This window comes from Homo sapiens, chromosome 16 (genome assembly GCF_000001405.40).
Source record: "Homo sapiens chromosome 16, GRCh38.p14 Primary Assembly".
In the NCBI taxonomy this organism is placed as follows: Eukaryota; Metazoa; Chordata; class Mammalia; order Primates; family Hominidae; genus Homo; species Homo sapiens.
The window spans coordinates 48029185-48047789 of record NC_000016.10 but is presented as its reverse complement, the minus strand read 5'-3'; the positions used below and the strand labels follow the sequence as shown (position 1 = coordinate 48047789).

Below are 18605 nucleotides of genomic sequence, written 5' to 3'. Positions count from 1 at the left end.
TCCTGGCCTCTGGGATTTCATGGGGGCTTTTGTCCTTCTCCTTTGCATTCTATGTGCAGCTGCTCCAAGAGCTGGGACGAATGTGGGGGTGAACTTCTGGTGGGCAGCCTTTTTCTGGCACCCACGAAGGACCAGTCCAGGGGATCCTTTTCTCCTGCGGAGTCAGTGCCCACCCTAACACATGGTCCCACTCTCCCTCCTCTTTTCTCTCCTTCCCTTCGTCCTCCTTCCCCTTTCCTTCCTCCTGTTCCTTTCCCTTCTCCTCTTCTTCCTCCTCTTTCTCCCCTTCCTCTCCCTCCTCCTGCTTCTCCTCCTTCTTTCCCTCTCCCTCCTCCCCTTTCTCTCTTCCCCCTACTCCTCCATTCCCTCCCTCTCCACTCCCTCCTCCTGCTTCCCCTCCTCTTCCCTCTCTCTCCCCATCCTCCACCTCCTTCTCCTCCTCCTAAATGCAGCTACATTTGGACCCCTGCAACCCAGCAGGCTAAGAAGCTGGCAGCACATCTGTCCTCTCTGGTCACAGGGGCTGGATGTTACGCACCTTCCCAATCTATTGCCTTCCAATACCATGTCCTTCTGATGTCACAGTAGCAGAGATTCTCCACAGGAGAGAACCATGGAAAAGCAACACTCCTGAGTCCTTTTGAAAAAATCACCCAACAACAAAATTCAGCCACTTAAAAGAGGAGTCCAGATAAAGAACTAATGGTGGAGAAACCACAGGAAAGGGGCAGGTTCTGAGCATTGGAGCCACACAAATATCAACCAGGACTAAGTAAGTTGGAAATTATAATCACAGACTAACCTGTGAATGTCGTAAATCTTGAAAACTTAAAAAAACTAACAAAAATACAGAGAGGTAGTGCTAATTTCCATATCTTCCATAGAATAAAGTGTATAAATATTATTTTAAATTGATATACATAGCTAAAAATGTGACTTCAACCTTTTCCAGTTTTCATTGTCATTAACGTATTATTTATTTTTATTTTTATTATTTTTTGAGACGAGATTTTGCTCTGTTGCCCAGGCTGGAGTACAGTGGTGCCATCATGGCTCACTGCAGCCTTGACCTCCCAAGCTCAAGGGATCCTCCCATCTCGGCCTCCCGACTAGCTGGGACTACAGGCATGCACCACCCTGTCTGGCTAATTTTATTGTATTTTGTAGAGTTAGAGTTTCTCCATGTTGCTCAGGCTAGTCTCGAACTCCTGGGCTCAAGCAATCAATCCAAATCAGCCTCCCAAAGTGCTGGGATTACAGGTATGATCCACCATGCCCAGCTCATTAGCATTTTAAGCTAAGAGCAATCTTTTAGCAATTAATACCTCTGGTGGTTTAGAAAATTTTACTTGAAATTCATAAATATTTTCAGTTTAATAACCATTTTTTTCTAAATTCAAGTAAAATTAAATTACATTTATTTTTTAAAATAGTATGCATCACCTACTTCAGAGAAATGTATTTTAGTTGATTCATCTGCCCTCCTATCTGTATATATGCAAGAGAGAAAGAGGTGTTTGGAGTGATATTCTTGCAACTTTTAAAGTGTCACATTATTTAATGATATCTATTTCTGGGGGCTAGATTCAGGGTAACTCTTTTACTTTCTTCCTCATAGATTTGGCATTGCTTAAAATCTTTATAATAAACACAAACTATTAAAAATATAATCATTACTCTCAAAAAAAGCATTCATCCAATAGAAGAGAACTCTGGGTTAATTGGAAAATCTGCTATATGAATGAATAATTTAACATGGATTCTTAGGTAACATGCATAATTATTCATGTTTACGTAGACTATTTGAATATATCTAGAAATCCTGCTGACTTATAACTCAGACACATATTTTTTAAGTTTAAACATTTCCAATTTGGGAGTTCCTCCGTCTACTAATGGATGGTGGTGTCATTGTTACAGTATGACATTTGGGGTTCACTGATCTATGCTGGGGAGCAGAGCTGGGGATAAAGTTGGGGCAGAAGGGGTAAGAATGAAATCTCTGTGTTAAAAGCAAATGAATGTATTATGATCGGTGCTGCCAGAGTGCAGCATAAAGGAAACAGGCAATGAATTAATGATGCGGCGGAGCAGCTGCACAGAAAGTTTCCTGTTAGAGTGACAGCAAGCCTAACATTGTGACTTAAGGCCCTGTTTTTATGCCACGACCACCTCCAGTTTGGGCTTGATATAGTGACAGCCCCATGCTTTAAGACTCTTGCTTCTTCAAGATATTTTTCCCCAGGTGGCAATTTCTCTACTCTTAATTCAGGGAGAGTGAACGAAGAGCAAGTGGGTTTTGGGAAAAGGCTAGGTCTGTGAAAGTCAGAGTGGTAATACACTGCTTTTCCTAATTCCCAGCCCTTACTAAGAAAAAACACTGGAGAAAATTGATAATGTGGTACCCTCTATAAAAGCGGGCGGTTTTAAATTTTAATTGATCTGGAAAAAATACATTTCTAAAAATTTATGCCATCATTCTGCCCCAAGCCCAGACATTGCTGCCACCAAAGCACTGATGTTTAACCAGGGACTTTAGATTTAAGCTGTAAAGCAGGGAACAAATGATCCACATTCTCTGTCCATTCCTACTAAAACCATGGGAAACTTCTGAAATTGCTTGCCAGAAAAATATCAGGGAATGCATGTATATATAATTACCCATGGAGAAATATGGGGCATTATTTTGTGTGTATTTTAATATAAATTACACTGTAAATAAGCATATAAATGCATATAAAAAGGTCTTTATATCCTGCCGCATAACAATGGTGGCCTTAGGCAAAAGGACGGGAACATGGTTAGGCCTAGGGAGAAAAAGGATCTTAGCAAAGAGACATTTGTGATGTTCTCACCTCTATCCTCTATCTCTCTCTCTTTTCCTTCCTTTTGTTCTTCTTTTTAAAAGACACATAGTCATACTTTACCTCCACAAGTAAAAATTACTTTTAAAGATTTCAGCATAATACTCTGCAGAAAAATCTAATTAAGCCCAGTTATACACTTAATGATTGCCTAGTCAAATTGCTTCTTTGGTTGTTTTAAAAACTGATTTCGGCAGAGTAGCTATGTTTTGTGATGCAGCTGATCCCATATTGTCACTGGGATGAATGTAAATGTCAAAGAGACGGTGTTTTGATCTGATATTTTTACCTGAATAAATATTACTTGCAGTTGAAAAAAGCAAAGATTCTGTTCATGAGTGGCACACAGCAGTCACTCAACAAAATGCCGAATGCATGAAATGTATGGATGGATGGATGGATGATGTTTGGTTGTTGGATGGATGGATGGATGGATGGTAAATGGATGATAAATGATTGAATGGTGAATGAATGGATGGTGGATAAATGGATGTATGGTGGATCAATGGATGTTGGATGGATGGATGGTAAATGGATGATGAATGATTGAATGGTGAATGAATGGATGGTGGATAAATGGGTGTATGGTGGATCAATGGATGGATGATGGATGGTGAATGGATGGACGTATATCAATGAATGGATGATGGGTGGGTGATGAATAGATGGATGGATGGTGAATGGATGGATGGATGGATGGATGATGAATGGATGGATGGATGATGAATGGATGGATGGATGATGGATGGTGAATGGATGGCTGGATGGATGGATGGTGAATGGGTGGATGGATGGATGGTGAATGGGTGGTTGGATGGATGGTGGATGGATGGATGGATGGGGGATCAATGGAAAGATGGTGGAATCAATGGATAGATGGATGGATGGGTGGTGAATGGATGGCTGGATGGTGGATCAATGGATGAATGGTGGATCAATGGATGGATGGTGGAATCAGTGGATAGAAGGATGGATGAATTGATGGATGGATGGTGAATGGATTGATGGTGAATGGGTGGATGGATGATGGATTAATGGATGAATGGATGGATGATGAATAGATGGATGGTGGAATTAATGGATAGATGGATGGATGGATTTATGGTGGGTCAATGGATGGATAGTGGATGAATGGATGAATTAATCTGGTGTGAGAGACAATTGCTGTTAGATTAAGGATTACCTTGAGCACAAGTTATATAAATTTTTTTAAAAAAAGAAAGTTGAAACTCATTCTCACTTACCTTTGGCCAATAGCTGGATTTGATATAGGCAATACTTTTTGCCTTTAGAAAATCAGCACAATGAGGAGTTGAGCAAGATGATCTTAGTCTAATACAAGCTGAAGCTAAGATTTTGTAGGGGTGCAACAAGGGAGCAACAAACTGTTTTCTTCTTTCTCAACAAAATGAGGGGAAAACATACAAATAAACACTGAAATCATTTAGAATTGTAGTGGGATGATTACACAAGGCATAGGGAGAACAATGATGCCCAGAAGGGCAGCAAAAACGGTCAGGAAAACTGAATTCACTGCATAAATATGGGTTGTTATTCTGAAAGGGACAGCTGAAGGAAACAGACAGTCACTGGCAGCCAAGTCTGCTCTCCACCTCAAATACCATAATGGAACCAATAATCCCATAAAAAGAGGCAAGAGACTCATCTTCTCATGGGCACTCAGTGAAATGGGAATGGAGAGAGCCATTTTTGCTTGACTGGCATGATGTCTTTTCCTCAGTGACCACCTCCTGCTTCCTCGCCTTCCACTTCCCAGCTCAGGGTCACTGCCCTCTCCTCTTTACAGTGGCTGTTTATATTTTGGCAGCTTCAGATGTGGAGAAAAATAAAGACTGACTGTGTAATTTAAAACTCTCATCCTGTGTTTGCACCACCACCCCCCCTGTCCCAACAGACGGTCCCCATCCCACCTACAGGGAGACCCAGTCCTCACCTAGCTGACTGTTCACCTGCAGGTCTGGTGTCACCAAATCTGTGCACCTATTCATTTGCCTCAGGAACAATCATTATCTTGCCCTTTATTTTTCTGAGTTTTCTATTTCTTCAGGGTTGCTATTCAGCTTGCAGTAATTACTCCAGTGGCAAAGCTGTGCCATCCCCTATTTTTTAGGAAATTGTTGGGTTTTTCTTATTTCATGACTTCATGATTTTCCAGAGGCTACTTTACAAACACAATCTTTTCTTTGAGTTCTAGAAAGCTTTCAGCAGGCCTCTTGCCAAAAATCATCTCCTGCCTTATGCAGGAAAGAATCTCTCAGGCCACAGTGGGAAAAGCTTGGAGTTTGTGGAGCCTGAGGCTTTCCAGGAGCCGCTGGGCACTAGCACAAAGGGAACGTCTGGAAATTAATGGGCACAGGAGAGAAATGGGTTTGCCTATTTCATACAACCATCTACAGAGGGCAGACTGAGGCTCTGGGTGGAAAGAAGGAAGGAGGAAGAAATGAAGCCCCTCTCGCTCCCTTCCCGATCTCTCCCCACATAAAGGCTGGCAGTGATTGACTTTTTACGTGTCATATACGCATCTCTGCTTAAAACACATGCTGTCAAATGTGTTTTTCTGCGCCTTGAAAAATTCTGTCAAATGCCATAAGCCATTCTGTCAAGAAAACTCTGTTTTTAATGACTGGATCCTTTGTCTTGGCTATTTTGTCTTCGAAGCATTCACTGGCTGTTGGCCAAATGTGAAGGAGGAAACGGACGCTCTAGTTGGTCTTCCCAATGATTGACTGTGCTATTTGGCAACACACTAAGCCACAGGTCTCAAACTCAGATGCCTGTGGGGGCCAGGCAGGTGACATAAATGAGCAAAGCAGGCCGTATGGGAACTTTGGCAAAGTGGACTGTCGCTGTCCCACCTGCAGGGGGATCCCAGTCCTCAGCACTGGCTGACAGTTGACCTGAAGGTCTGGTGTCGCCGAATCTGTGCACCTGTTCATTTGCTTCAGGAACAGTCATTATCTTACCCTTTGTTTTTCTCTGAGTTTTCTATTTCTTCAGGGTGGCTGTTCAGCTTGCAGTAATTACTCCAGTGGCAAAGCTGTGCCATCCTCCATCTTTTAGGGAATAATAATAATAATAATAATTATTATTATTATTATTATTATTATTTAAATTTCATGACTTTAAAATGTGATTTGCTGGAGGCTACTTTATCTCCTCCACAATAACTTATTTAAGGACAGGCAATTAACCCAGGCTGAACCAATCCTAATACTTCATCCTCCTGGCCATAGTGGTTGATCCAGCCCCTGGGCATGCAACCTGTTCTTTCCTGTTTTTCTCTTTCTTTTTCTATTTCTTTGTTAATTGGAGCTTGGGAGCAAGAGCCTCATTTTCAATGTAAGGCTGGGAGGGTCAGCTAAAGAGTAATTGGTGACCCTGACTTCAGCCTTCAGGAAGAAGCCAGCCTCAGGGTTCTGGGGGACACAAAGAGATCACAGATAAAGTCCCGAGGTCACTCAAGTTTCCAGCTTCAATAGTTTCAGAGAGACTTCCCGTTCTTTTCAAGGTTTGGAAACAAATCCTCCTTTCTGCCTATTTTGAGTTGAGCTTCTGTTACTTGTGACTCAAAAAAGCTTGACAGATGTGGACTTTGGAGCCAAACTACAACTTGGGTTCAATCTGCATCTGACACTGGCTCACTGTGCAATCTTCAGAAGGTTCATTAGCCTCTCTGTCTCAGTGTCCTCATCTATAAAGTGGGAACAATAATAGAACCTATCTGATATAGTTCGGATATTTGTCTCCACCCAAATCGCATGTTGAAATGTAATCCTCAATATTGGAGGTGGAGCCTTGTGGGAGGTGTTTGGATTATGGGGCCAGAGTCCTCATGAAAGGCTTGGGCCATCCCTCAGTAATAAGTGAGCTTTAGCTCTGAATTCACACGTGATCTGGTGGTTTGAAAGTGTGTGGCATGGCTGGATGTGGTGGCGCACACCTACAATCCAAGCTACTCGGGAGGCTGAGACAGGAGAATTGTTTGAATCCAGGAGGTGGAGTTTTCAGTGAGCAGAGATCACACCACTGGACTCCAGCCTGGGTGACAGTGTGAGACTCTGTCTAAAAAAAAAAAAAGGCCGGGCACGGTAGCTCACACCTGTAATCCCAGTACTTTGGGAGGCCGAGGCAGGTGGATCACCTGAGATCAGGAGTTTGAGGCCAGCCTGGCCAACATGGTGAAACCCCGTCTCTACTAAAAATATAAAAATTAGCTGGGCATGGTGGTGGGCACCTGTAATCTCAGCTACCCGGGAGGCTGAGGCAGGAGGGAGGAGAATCATTTGAACCCAGGATGCAGAGGTTGCAGTGAGCCGGGATGGTGCCATCGCACTCTAGCCTGGACAACAGACTGAGACTCCATCTAAAAAAAAAAAAGAAAAGAAAGTGTGTGGCACCTCTCCCCACTCTCTTTCTTGCTCCTGCTTGGCCATGTGACATGCCTGCTCCCCCTTCACCTTCTGCCATGATTGTAACTTTCCTGAAGCCCCCCCAGAAGCTGAGCAGATGCCAGCACCATGCTTCTTGTAAAGCCGCGGAATCACGAGCCAATTAAACCTCTTTTCTTTACAAATTACTCAGGCTCAGGTATATCTTTATAGCAATGCAAGAACTGCCTAATACACTACCTTGTAAGGATGCTATGAGGATTAAAAGAATCAATACATATAAAGCACACAAAACTTGTATTTTCATCAAAGTGTGAGTGAGTGGCAAAAAATGATTACACACCCCAGAACAAGGGACCCAATCTGTCTGCGACTGAAGAGTCACTTCTGCTCAAAGACAATTTGAAACCTAAAAGGTAATTCCTCTTCTATCAGTTTTTCACCCTTAAAGAGGAATAGTAACTCCACATCAGAAAGATGTTTCTCTTTTCCTTTCCCAAAGAGAAAGAAAAAAGAACTTTATAAAATCAAATTCATGTTTCATCAAGAAATTAAAAGACAAAATTAGACAGGCAGTCCAGAATGAGGTAGAATTCATCAATATTCTGAGAGGGATAGAAAGTTGAAGAGATAGTAGAGTCATTATAATAGATTTAAACACCCACCACGAAGAGAAATTACTAATGGGTGAATGTAGGTATAATTTAATGCTTGCGTTTTTTAGAAAAATCCAAAAATGACAGGTCTGTAATTTTGACTTCAGTAGAGGAGGTAATGGAAATACCGTTCAGGCTTGGAGAAGCAGAGTGCTATGAAAGTTATTACTTAATTAGAGATTGTAAGCACAGATTCAAACGAGGGAAGAATTTTCATTGTGTTTGCAGTAGGTTTGTTGGCATTGCAAAGAAATGAAGAGGCAGCCGGGAAGTGAGCTAACAACTTCTCCGAGTGGGACTACCTGAAATCCAATTCAGGGTGAGAATCTAGGGCCCTGTGCCCAAGGAAACCTTCCCTGCAAGCTGCCTTTATCATCTAGCGCCCTTGGTGCTGGTCTCAGCAGAAACAATGACATCTTCAAAAATAGGAAGGAAAAGGACAAAACTGAGCAGTGATTTTCATGTTTTAGGAAATGACCTCAAAAGGAAGAGATTAAATGAATGTCGAAGGGATTGTAGTTTTGATAGGACAATCAGGATCTATTATTAAAGCATCAGGTTGAGGCTTCGGAGCCAGGAAGTGATGTTGCCCTTCCTGGGGGTCTGTAGGAAGAGATGTCATGACAGTCCAGCAGACAATGCCAGAAACGTTGGGGAGATGGTACACTTAGGATGGAATTTATGGCTATTTTGCCCACTGTCTCCACAACACAACACATCACTGTGAGTTATATTGACATTAACAATATAACTCAAACATGGGTTTTGGTTGTCACAGAAGGTTTTGGCACTAAATCTCTTTAAAGAGAAATGAGGATTTCATGCAAAATTCATGATGTCTGGGAAGCCCTCTTCATTAAAATGGTGGGAAAAAGCATAGAAGGCTAGGAAGTGGCTGGTTGACATCACTATTTTTCCAAGAGTGGGCTTTTAAAAAGGGCTTTAAAAATGGTTATTTCCAGGCCAGACGTTTTCTCACATTTTCTCTCAGAGGATTACAAAAAGGGTGGCTCACCAGCCCCAAATTTTATTTCATTCACTCTTAGTTGAAAAGGGAAAGTAAATCACACACTGTGTATTCCATGGATGTCTAATTGGCACCAGGACAACCTGGTCTGTCCACAAACCATGGGGTCCCATGCCCAGAAGTATTTTTAGGTTGAAGGACAGCAATCTTTTCCCTCTTTTATTATTATTTTTTAACTGATACATAATAATTGTATATATTTATGGGGTAGAGTATGACATTTCAATACATGTATACAATATGTAATGATCAAATCAAGGTAATTAGTATCTCTGTCACTTCAAATATTAATCTTTTTTGTGTTTGGAACATTCAGAATCTGCTCTTGTAGTTATTTGAAAGAAAACAATAAACTGTTGTTAACTATAGTCACACGACAACGCTATAGAACACTAGAACTTTTTCTCCTATCTAGCTGTAATTTTGTATCTGTTAACCAATGTTTAGCTACACCTCTGCCACTTCCCAACCTCTGGTAACCAGTATTCTACTCTCTACTTTTACGAGATCAACTTTTTTGGCTTCCGCAAAGGAGTGAGAATATGCAGCATTTGTCTTTCCTGGTTTGTTTCACTTAACATCGTGAATAAAGGTTCACCTGTGTTGCCATGAATGACAGGATTTCATTATTTTTATGGCTGAATAGTATTCCATTGTGTATATATACCACATTATTCATTCACCTGTTGATGGGCACTTAGGTCGATTCTATATCTTGGCCACTGTCAGCAGTGCTGTAACAAACATGGGAGTGCAGAGAACTCCTTGACGTACTGATTTCCTTTCCTTTGGATATACACCTAGAAATAGGACTGCTGGATCATATAATAGTTCTATTTTTAGTGTGTGAGGACCCTGCATACCATTTCCATAATAGCTGTGCTAACTAATTTACATTCCCACCAACACCGTGTAAGAGTTCCTTTTTGTCTGTATCCTCAGCAGCATTTGTTATTTGTTTGTGTTTTTGAGAATGGCCATTCTAATTGGGGTGAGATGATGTCTCATAGTGGTTTTGGTTTGCATTTACCTGACTATTAGTGATGTTGAGCATTTTTTAACACATCTGTTGGCCATTTGTATGTCTTCTATTGATAGAAGTCTATTCAGCTCATTTGCCCATTTTTAAATCAGATTATTTGTTTTTTCTATTGAGTTGTTTGAGTTCTGGATTTTAATCCCTTGTCAGATGAATCATTTGTGAATATCATCTCCCATTCTACTGTTGTCCCTTCACACTGTTGATTGTTTCCTTTGCTGTGAAGAAGCTTTTTTAGTTTAATGTAATCCCACTCATCTATTTTTTCTTTTGTTGCCTGTGCTCTTGAGGTCTTTTTCATAAGACCTTTGCCCAGACCAATGTCCTAGAACATTTTCTCTGTGTTTTCTTCTAGTTAGTTCATAGTTTCAAGTCTTACATTTAAGTTTAGTCCATTTTGATTTGCTTTTTGTATATAGTGAGAGAAAGGAGTCTAGTTTCATTATTCTGCATCTAGATGTCCAGTTTTCCTGGTATCATTTATTGAAAAGACTGCCCTTTCCCCAGTGGATGTTCTTAGCACCTTTGTTGAAAATCAATTGGCTGTAAATACATGGATTTATTTCTGGGTTCTCTATTCTGCTCCATTGGTCTATGTGTCTGTTTTTATACCAATATCACACTGTTTTGGTTACCATAGCTTTGGGGTGAATTTTGAAGTCAGGTAATGTGATGCCTCCAGCTTTGTTCTTTTTGCTCAGGATTGCTTTGGCTATTTGGGATCTTTTCTGTTTCCGTATGAATTTTAGAATAGTGTTTGCTATTTCTGTAAAGAATATCGTTAGTATTTTGATAGGGATTGCATTGAATCTGTAGATTGCGTTTGGTAGTATAATTATTTTCATAATATTTATTCTTGGAATTTATAAACATGGGATGTAATTTTTTTTTCTTTTTGCCAAGGACACCAATCTTAATTCAGAGAATAGTTGTGTCTCTTTTTAGTGTCTGAATGGTCATACCTTTGCATAGTTGTCCATTTAACTTTCAGGTTATGCCCACAGGATGTGGCCTGGTGCAGAGAAGCAGAATTGTTTGAATCAGATGACACGGATTCTTGTTTCAACTCTGGCTCTGATTCTGGTGACCTTAGGCAAGTCATTTTACCTCTCTAAGCCAATTTCCTTTCCTGTAAACTTAAGGGAAATAAAGGGTGGTTGGCCTGTAATGTCTTTTTCAGCATTACAGTTCTATAAAGTAATTCCTTTCTATGGTAGAAAGAGAAGTTATATTGTGAACCATACGGAAGTGTGTTTGGGAGAAAGCACATTTAATAATGAATGAAAAGTGGACTAAGAAGGCCAGAGAGAGCCACACCAGCACCAGGACTGCTGAAGACCAGGCAGCAGGGGTAGAATGTGGTTCTGGGGATCTTGGAGGCAGGGAAAGGAGTCTTGAAAAGAAAAGTGGCCAGAAAAAAAATCAAGAGAAAGAAGAGTAGAGTCAATGCAGACAGTATGTGAGTTCTACACCAAGCTCAGCCCTGAGTTTTGTTTGTCAAAGCCAAGTTTTAGATTTACCTCCTTGAAGTTTTTCCAGACAAGTCCCATCTAACAATATTCTAGACAGGTCGGGCTTCTCTCAGAAACTATCAGTGGCTCCTCATGGCCTGGAGAAGACTCTAAAATCCACATCTAGTTTCCAAAATTTGTTTACTACCTATCTTTCCAGACCCCTCTCTGACCTGCCTTTGTCAAGAGCTGAAGGCTTCATCCTTTCCAGACTGATCCTGAACCTTCTCTCCTGTTTATTCTTTCTGTAAAACCCTTCAGCTTCCCCTCTGCTGGGGGAAACATTGTCATTTATCAAGGCAATTAGGCCTCATAGGATTTTCAGGAGCCTGTGCCAATGTTTGGGACCTGCAGTGAAGGAGGTAGGAATAATCAACTCCAAAATACGAAAATTGCAGAATCCAAATAACAATATTTAAAAAACAAAATCATAAAAATGTTTTTGAGAACAAAACATTTAGTTAATTTGGGCACTGGATGTATTTTAATATGATTACTATGTCTTGGGGTGGGGTCTTCGAAGGAAATAGTGCACGGGGCCTAGAGGTGTCTCATGTGAGAAGGCCCTTGCTGAGACTTAGCATTGAAGTCTCTCTTTCCATATTGCTTCTTTGTTTTGGGGCTGTGTCTATCACAGCACTAATCTTACTCTGCCTTGTGTCAAAGTGGCCAGTGTCCACTGTTGCCTTCTCTGCTAGACCAGAAGTGTCTTGAAGGCCAGAATCCTACTGTGTAGAGGTCTAAATTAGCAGCCCATAGGCCAATAGACAGGTGCTTCAAATAATAAGATTTCACCAAATGCCCAGGTTTCTGACTTCTTGTAAAAGTTCAGATGATCTGGCTCCACCCGTCATTCATGCTTTTGCACCAGGTAACAGGTGACTGGACTTGAGTAGGCGGGGCACGCAGCCTCCCATTTGCCCAGCTTTCCTGTACTCACCTTAGTCATTTGTGTCAACATGAGTCTGGATCCAAAAGTCTTACACTTTTGGTGTAGATCCTCCTCCTCTTCATACCTAGCACAGTGTCTTGCAGAGTGCTCGTGCTTAACATGTATTTGTTGAGTAAATAGGGTTTGGAGCTTGATGTCCCTGGAATACATTGTCAGAATCAGACTTCAAGTTGCACAAAGCAAACTTTTAGCTATTTACTGATAACATGACTCTATTTTCCCTTTTCAGCTGGCTGAGGGAGAGAACCTAATGACAGGCTATGTGGCATCTAATTGGATCATTTTACTGAAAATGATCACAAGAGTAGCAAATTATATCTGTATGATGGATCTTCAGCATTACCAAATTTTTTGTCAAATTTGCAGGCAAATTATTGTCTTAACTCCAAAATGATGTATCCGAAGATTTGTTAATGTGAGAGCGTCAGATGCGATGGAAATCCGTCATGAAACATGAACTGAAAGCAAGATGAATGTGTATCATCGAGTGCCTCCATTTTTCTTTTATCAAACAAAATTAGCCTTCCCCCATAAACTGATTAAAAAATATCCTTTACGAGATGAGAAATTCAGCTGAAAGGAGTGCTAGAGCAGCCTACATATTGTTGATCAGAGATCTGAGAGCTATCATTTCAGAAAACTGACATTTCAAATTTGCCCCTGAGAACCAAGCTATAGAGGTCAGGTTTGAGAAACATGCTCAAAAACATGCTATGCCATAGTCTCAGCTGTGAAATTTAAGGTGATATTTTCAGTGAAATGGCTAGTCTATGTCAATGTGAGTGAGTATCTCAACTTTCCAACCAGACTGTAAGCAGCATTTGAATATAAGCTGTCTCTCACCCTTCAGTCTGTTTTCACTTTCCTGCCACAGTGCCTTGTGCATAACTGGTGCCTAAATAGTTATAATTACTTTGTTGATAAACACACCCAACTAAATTGCCCTTAAATGCAACAATCCTTCTTGCAACCCTCTTAGGAAAGAGGGTTTGCTGCATTTAAGGGCAAATTAGAAAAGTAGCAAGCTCTGAAATTTGGGAAGGCCACAGAAAAGTGAGTAGATTTATAAGGAGACCCTTTGTCATTAATAATTCATGCAGGGAGAAAACTACAATTGGAAAAAACCTGCTCTCACTGCTATAGGTACATTTCTATAGTCATGCAATGGAAATACTGCCAGCTTGGTAATGAGAAATGGGATTTATACATGGGCTGATTGCATCAGATCAAATGTAGTTGTTCCATTTAGAGATACAGTTTGACTTTTGGAATACTCAAATCAAGGAAATAATGAACTAGGATGTAATAGATATCTGCTATATCCTTACTTCAAAAATCAAGAACATACCCAGTATTGTCTTTTAAGCATGGTATGTGTTTCCACTCCTTGACCAAATAGTCATTGAAACCAACAGTCATTGAGGCCCAGATCAGTGAATGAACATGGCACATTAGATTATTCTTGAAAAATGTTTCCTCTCACCTACATTATTCAATCAATCTTTATGGGAGGAATAAACTTCCCCACTCCTTGACTTTGGGCTGGGCCATGTCTTGCTTTGGCCAATGATAGTGGATTCTTGAGGTATGTTTGAGTGGTGGGTATTACCCACTTGCACTCTGGCCATAACATGAGAAGAATATGCCCTGGGTGGCCAATGACCCTTCAGTCTGGGGCCTGGGCTGAGACCAGTGAAGTGGGAGCACTCTAGCAATGTGCACATATGTGAGTGGGCATATATTTAGGGGCAATTTGTTACACAGCTATAACTGACTGATACAGTGCCCTGCCCAAGGTCAAACAGCTAGTGGTGGAGTTGTTTTATGTGTACTGGGTGACATGAAGGTTCCCAGCATCTCAATTCTCCATCTTACAGAGGGAGGAGGCACACATGGAACTGGGAAATACTGTCCTCGGGGACTCAGCCAGTGATTGGATAGAGACAGAGGCAGCTATGGGTGTTGATTTTAGAATTCTATAACTGGACTTCCATCACACAACTATGCTCAGAAAGAGAGTCCACCTACACTGCTTTGAAAAATTCTATCATCAAAGACCTAAACGAACGAACTAATTACAGACCCCAGAGCTCTCTTCCTTTCTCTCTCTGCCTAACCCTCCCTCTCCACCCATCTCCGCCCTCTCCCTCTCTGCCTCCCTTTCCCCATCCTTCATTTTAGATATGCAGGCAGTGTGATACAATTGACTGAGCACTGGATAAAGTGTCAAGAACATGGTTCTGGTGCTGACTCTGCTACCATCCCTCTGAAACTTCAGCTAAGTTACTTCACCTCTCTGAGCTTCCTTTTTCTCATCAGTAAAACAGAGTTGATGATAACCTACCCCACAGAGGCATAAAGCGATTTATGAAAGAACAGTCTTCAAGTGCTCATGACAGTGTCTGGCTCAAGCATTGCCTCTGGGGAGAGGCAGATATCTCTTCCTTTCACAGCCTCCTGTAGCAGAAAAGGTTACATATTCTCCCCCATGGTCAGGTAAAAATGTGCAGAGCCAGCAGATCCTAGCATCTTCCTGTCAAGAAAACTGGCATGTAGCAACCTTCTTAGCTGAGCAAAACAGGTTGCCAGGGTCCTGTGTTTCTTCTTTAAGAGTCCTGTCTTCTTCTAAAGACTCTTGAGCAGGTTATTTGTATTAGAAAAGTAGCACCATTTATTTTCCAATCTGGCACTTTGACTTCCCTACCTGTATCCCACATCAGGCCCTGCTAGGTTTTATTTCTGGAGCCTCAGTGACGCTTCAACCTCCCAAATCACCTTCATTCAGCAAAAGTGTACCCTACACAACTTTCACTCTATGCTTAGCCTGTGGAAGAGACAGAAGGGTCTCTATCTTGTTCTCCAAGAACTCACGATCTTCCTGGGGAAAAGACTCTCAGTAGGAAATGCTCCTTTATTCAACAGGTATTTATTGAGCATCTACTACATGCCAGGCTCAGTGCCAGTTCTGTGGCTTTTATAGCAAATGAAATGGATGGTTGTGGAGACATTCTGTCTGCAGCAGAGCTGTCCAATAGAAATATAATGTGAGTCACATATGTGATTTTAAGTTTTCGAGTAGCTATCTTTAAAAAGTAAAAACAAACAGGTGAAATTAATTTTAATGATATATTTTGTTTAACCCAATACATCCCAAATGTTATCATTTTAATACTAAAATGATAATCAAGTGATCAAGATTTTTATATTCCTTTTTCCTACTAACTCTTTGAAATCAGGTGTGTACTTTGCACTCACAGCACATCTCAATTCGACTGGCCACAGTGCAAGTGCTTAGCAGCCACATTTAGCCAGTGGCTACTACGTTGGACAGTATAAGTCTAGAGAAATAGGTGAGCCCTGGGAGTCAAGGTGCACCTGCCTGCAGAGAGGAATGACAAGGGTAGGAAGGGCGGCTGACACCAGAGAGGCACCAGGGGCAGCAGGCGGGGCTGGATATTGAAGATGGGAGCTTGAGAAAGATGGCAGAAGCACCAACAGGTGAATCCCACTGCAGTTCCAGGAGTCAGCTCAGCCAGGCTGATGGGGAGTATGAGGAGGAGCGGTGCCAGGTGAACCAGAGGTGCTGGCGGGAGGCTGACATGAGAAATTCTCACTCTAGAATGGCACAAATTATCCCAGCCACAGAAGCATTCTGAAGGGAGAAAAAACTGCTGTGGGTTTTTTCTCAACACGGGGTTTGGCCTCTAAATATTGATTGATTCATTTATTTATTCATGTATAAATATTTATTGAATAGCTACTATGTGTACTATGTGAACAGGGACTATGAATACAGTAGTGGATGGGATGGTCCAGGTCCCTTTGCCATGGAAATCCCATTATACTGGGGGAAGGTAAACAATAAACAAGCAATAAATAAACAAGACCGTATCTGATTATGGTAAATGTATGATGTGGCGGAGGAGAAATGGCAAAATGACAGGCTTGGGAGGGTAGTGCACACAGTTTAGGTTGGGCGGTAAGCCAGGCTATATCCATTTACCCCTGCGGACTGACTCGTTTTTTTTTTCTGCCTTGCCCTGTGTCCTAAAAGGTTGGCCTATGTGAAGTGCACATTAGAGATTAAGGAGCCACAAGGACTGCGTGCCACATGGTATCCTACACTGGATCCTGGAAGAGGAAAAGAAAATCCAAAAAAAAGTCCGTAATTTAGTTACCAATATTGCATCAATGTTGATTTCTTAGTTTTGATCTTTGTACTGTGGTTACGCAAGACGTTAATGTTAGGGGAGGTTGGATGAAGGGTAGGTAGAAACTCTGCTATCTTTGTAACTCATTAAGTCTGAAATTATTTCAAAATAAAAAGTTTTTAAAAGTGCATAAAATACATGTAAATTCATGTAACAGCAAGAAATTTGCATTTAAGCATATTCACAGGACAATATTACTAAATCACAGGAAAATTTTAATAGCATTGTTATTACACTACAGGATATGGTGTTTAGAATCCACCTGTCCCAGCAAGATTGCTTTGGTGCAGAAATCAAACTAAGTACTTGCTCAGAGCTTCTCTTTCTACCAACACCCCTTTCAACACAGAGGCAGAGGGATGAATCCACCCACATACACCTTCCCCACTATATTCGCAGTGAGCTTCAGGAGCTCAAGTTTGGTCTCCCTGGGCCTCAGTGGTTGCATCTGTAAAGTGGGAGATTGGACTGTGGGATCTTCAAGGCCCTCTGGATCTGAGATGCCCAATGCAGAGGGCCGATTTACTGGATGAGAATGATATCCCAAAGCCACTGGGGCCCAGCGGAAACAGCTAGAAACCTTGTTCTGTTTATGGCGTTGGAGGATAGTTCTGGTGGGAGGCAATACTAACAACAACAGCTCTGAGGATGCCAAACACTTCTTGAACTCTTGCTGTGTGCTGGGCACTCCTCTAAGGACTTGCCATGTTTTAACTCACTGAATCCTCACCACAACTATCATCATCAGCCTCTTCATTTTATAGATGAGAATGCTGAGGCCCAGAGAGGTGAAGGGAGTTGCCTGGGGTTCCATGGCCCATGAGCTGTATTGCTAGCCCTTGACCTCTGTGTTTTGCAAGGGGCACAGGTTGTCCTGTGCCTGGAAGAAGCAGGGATGGGGCCAGGACAAGATGATGGAGTCCAGGTGAGGGTTTCCCTCTCAGATTTGGGCAGAACCTACCTCCTATTGCAAAATGGGCACAGGGCATGAGAGCTGGTTTCTGCCTCCTCTGTATGCAGGGCCCCAGGGGCCTGAGTCCCAGCACTCAGAGGAAGGAGCACTTTAGCAACTTGCTCCCTCCAGGAGCAATTCCCTTCCAGCTGCTGGTCACAGGGAATCGGTCTCTCATGCGGATTCTCTCCTGCCCTCTCCTGGTCTTCTCCCAGCCTGGCTGTTTATGGATGGTGTGTGCTCACATGTGCACACAATTCATTTATTTTGTTTCCTCTATTGGTTTTACAAAAATTACAAACTGATAAATGCACATTGTAAAAATAATTCAAACAGCATAGAAATGTATAATGGACGAAGTGAAAACGCCACCCTCCTCCTTCCCCCGTGCCTCTATGCCCTTCCTTGAATCTCATTCTGGGGTAGTCACTGCAAGCAGCCATTTTCTGAGAATGTGGCACCAGGAGTTTTTTACACCAAATATAGGCCCCTTGAGAACAAGGACTGTGTCTGTGTCATTCGCTGTTGCATTCTTGGGAGAGGGCCTGGCATTAGTAGATGGCCAATCATGTTTATTGATGTTGAATGAATAAATGAAGGATTTCTTATGAAACCTACTTTTTCCATGAAACAAAATAAACATTGTATGGCCCTGCTCCATATCAGAGCTTAGACCAAAGCTTCATTCTTTTTTGGGGACTGCCAAGCATTTCATAATTCAGACGTACCTTAATATATTTAACACTCTCCTTCTTAATAAATGCTTAATGTATTTAACACTCTCCTTCATTATAAATGCTTAATAAATGCATTGTGTGGTGTTTTTATTACAAATGTGATACAATGAGCCCTCTTTTACATGTGTCTCAGAATGCACAAATGAATACTTTAGTAAGGGAGATTTTCTGAGTCAGAGGGTACATACAGTTTAAATTTTGTCCTGGATATGTTAAAGGACCTTGTAGGAGCTGGACAGAGGGCATG

The 18605-nt window shown here is 41.6% G+C and overlaps 1 long non-coding RNA gene across 1 annotated transcript; it reads left to right on the top strand.

Moving 5' to 3' along the window:
- The first annotated feature begins 397 nt into the window (after window positions 1-397).
- LOC124903686 (uncharacterized) lies at window positions 398-16804 on the top strand. The gene is made up of 2 exons (XR_007065062.1): window positions 398-772; window positions 16513-16804. It is a non-coding gene; the product is annotated as an uncharacterized LOC124903686 (long non-coding RNA).
- Window positions 16805-18605: the final 1801 nt, after the last annotated feature.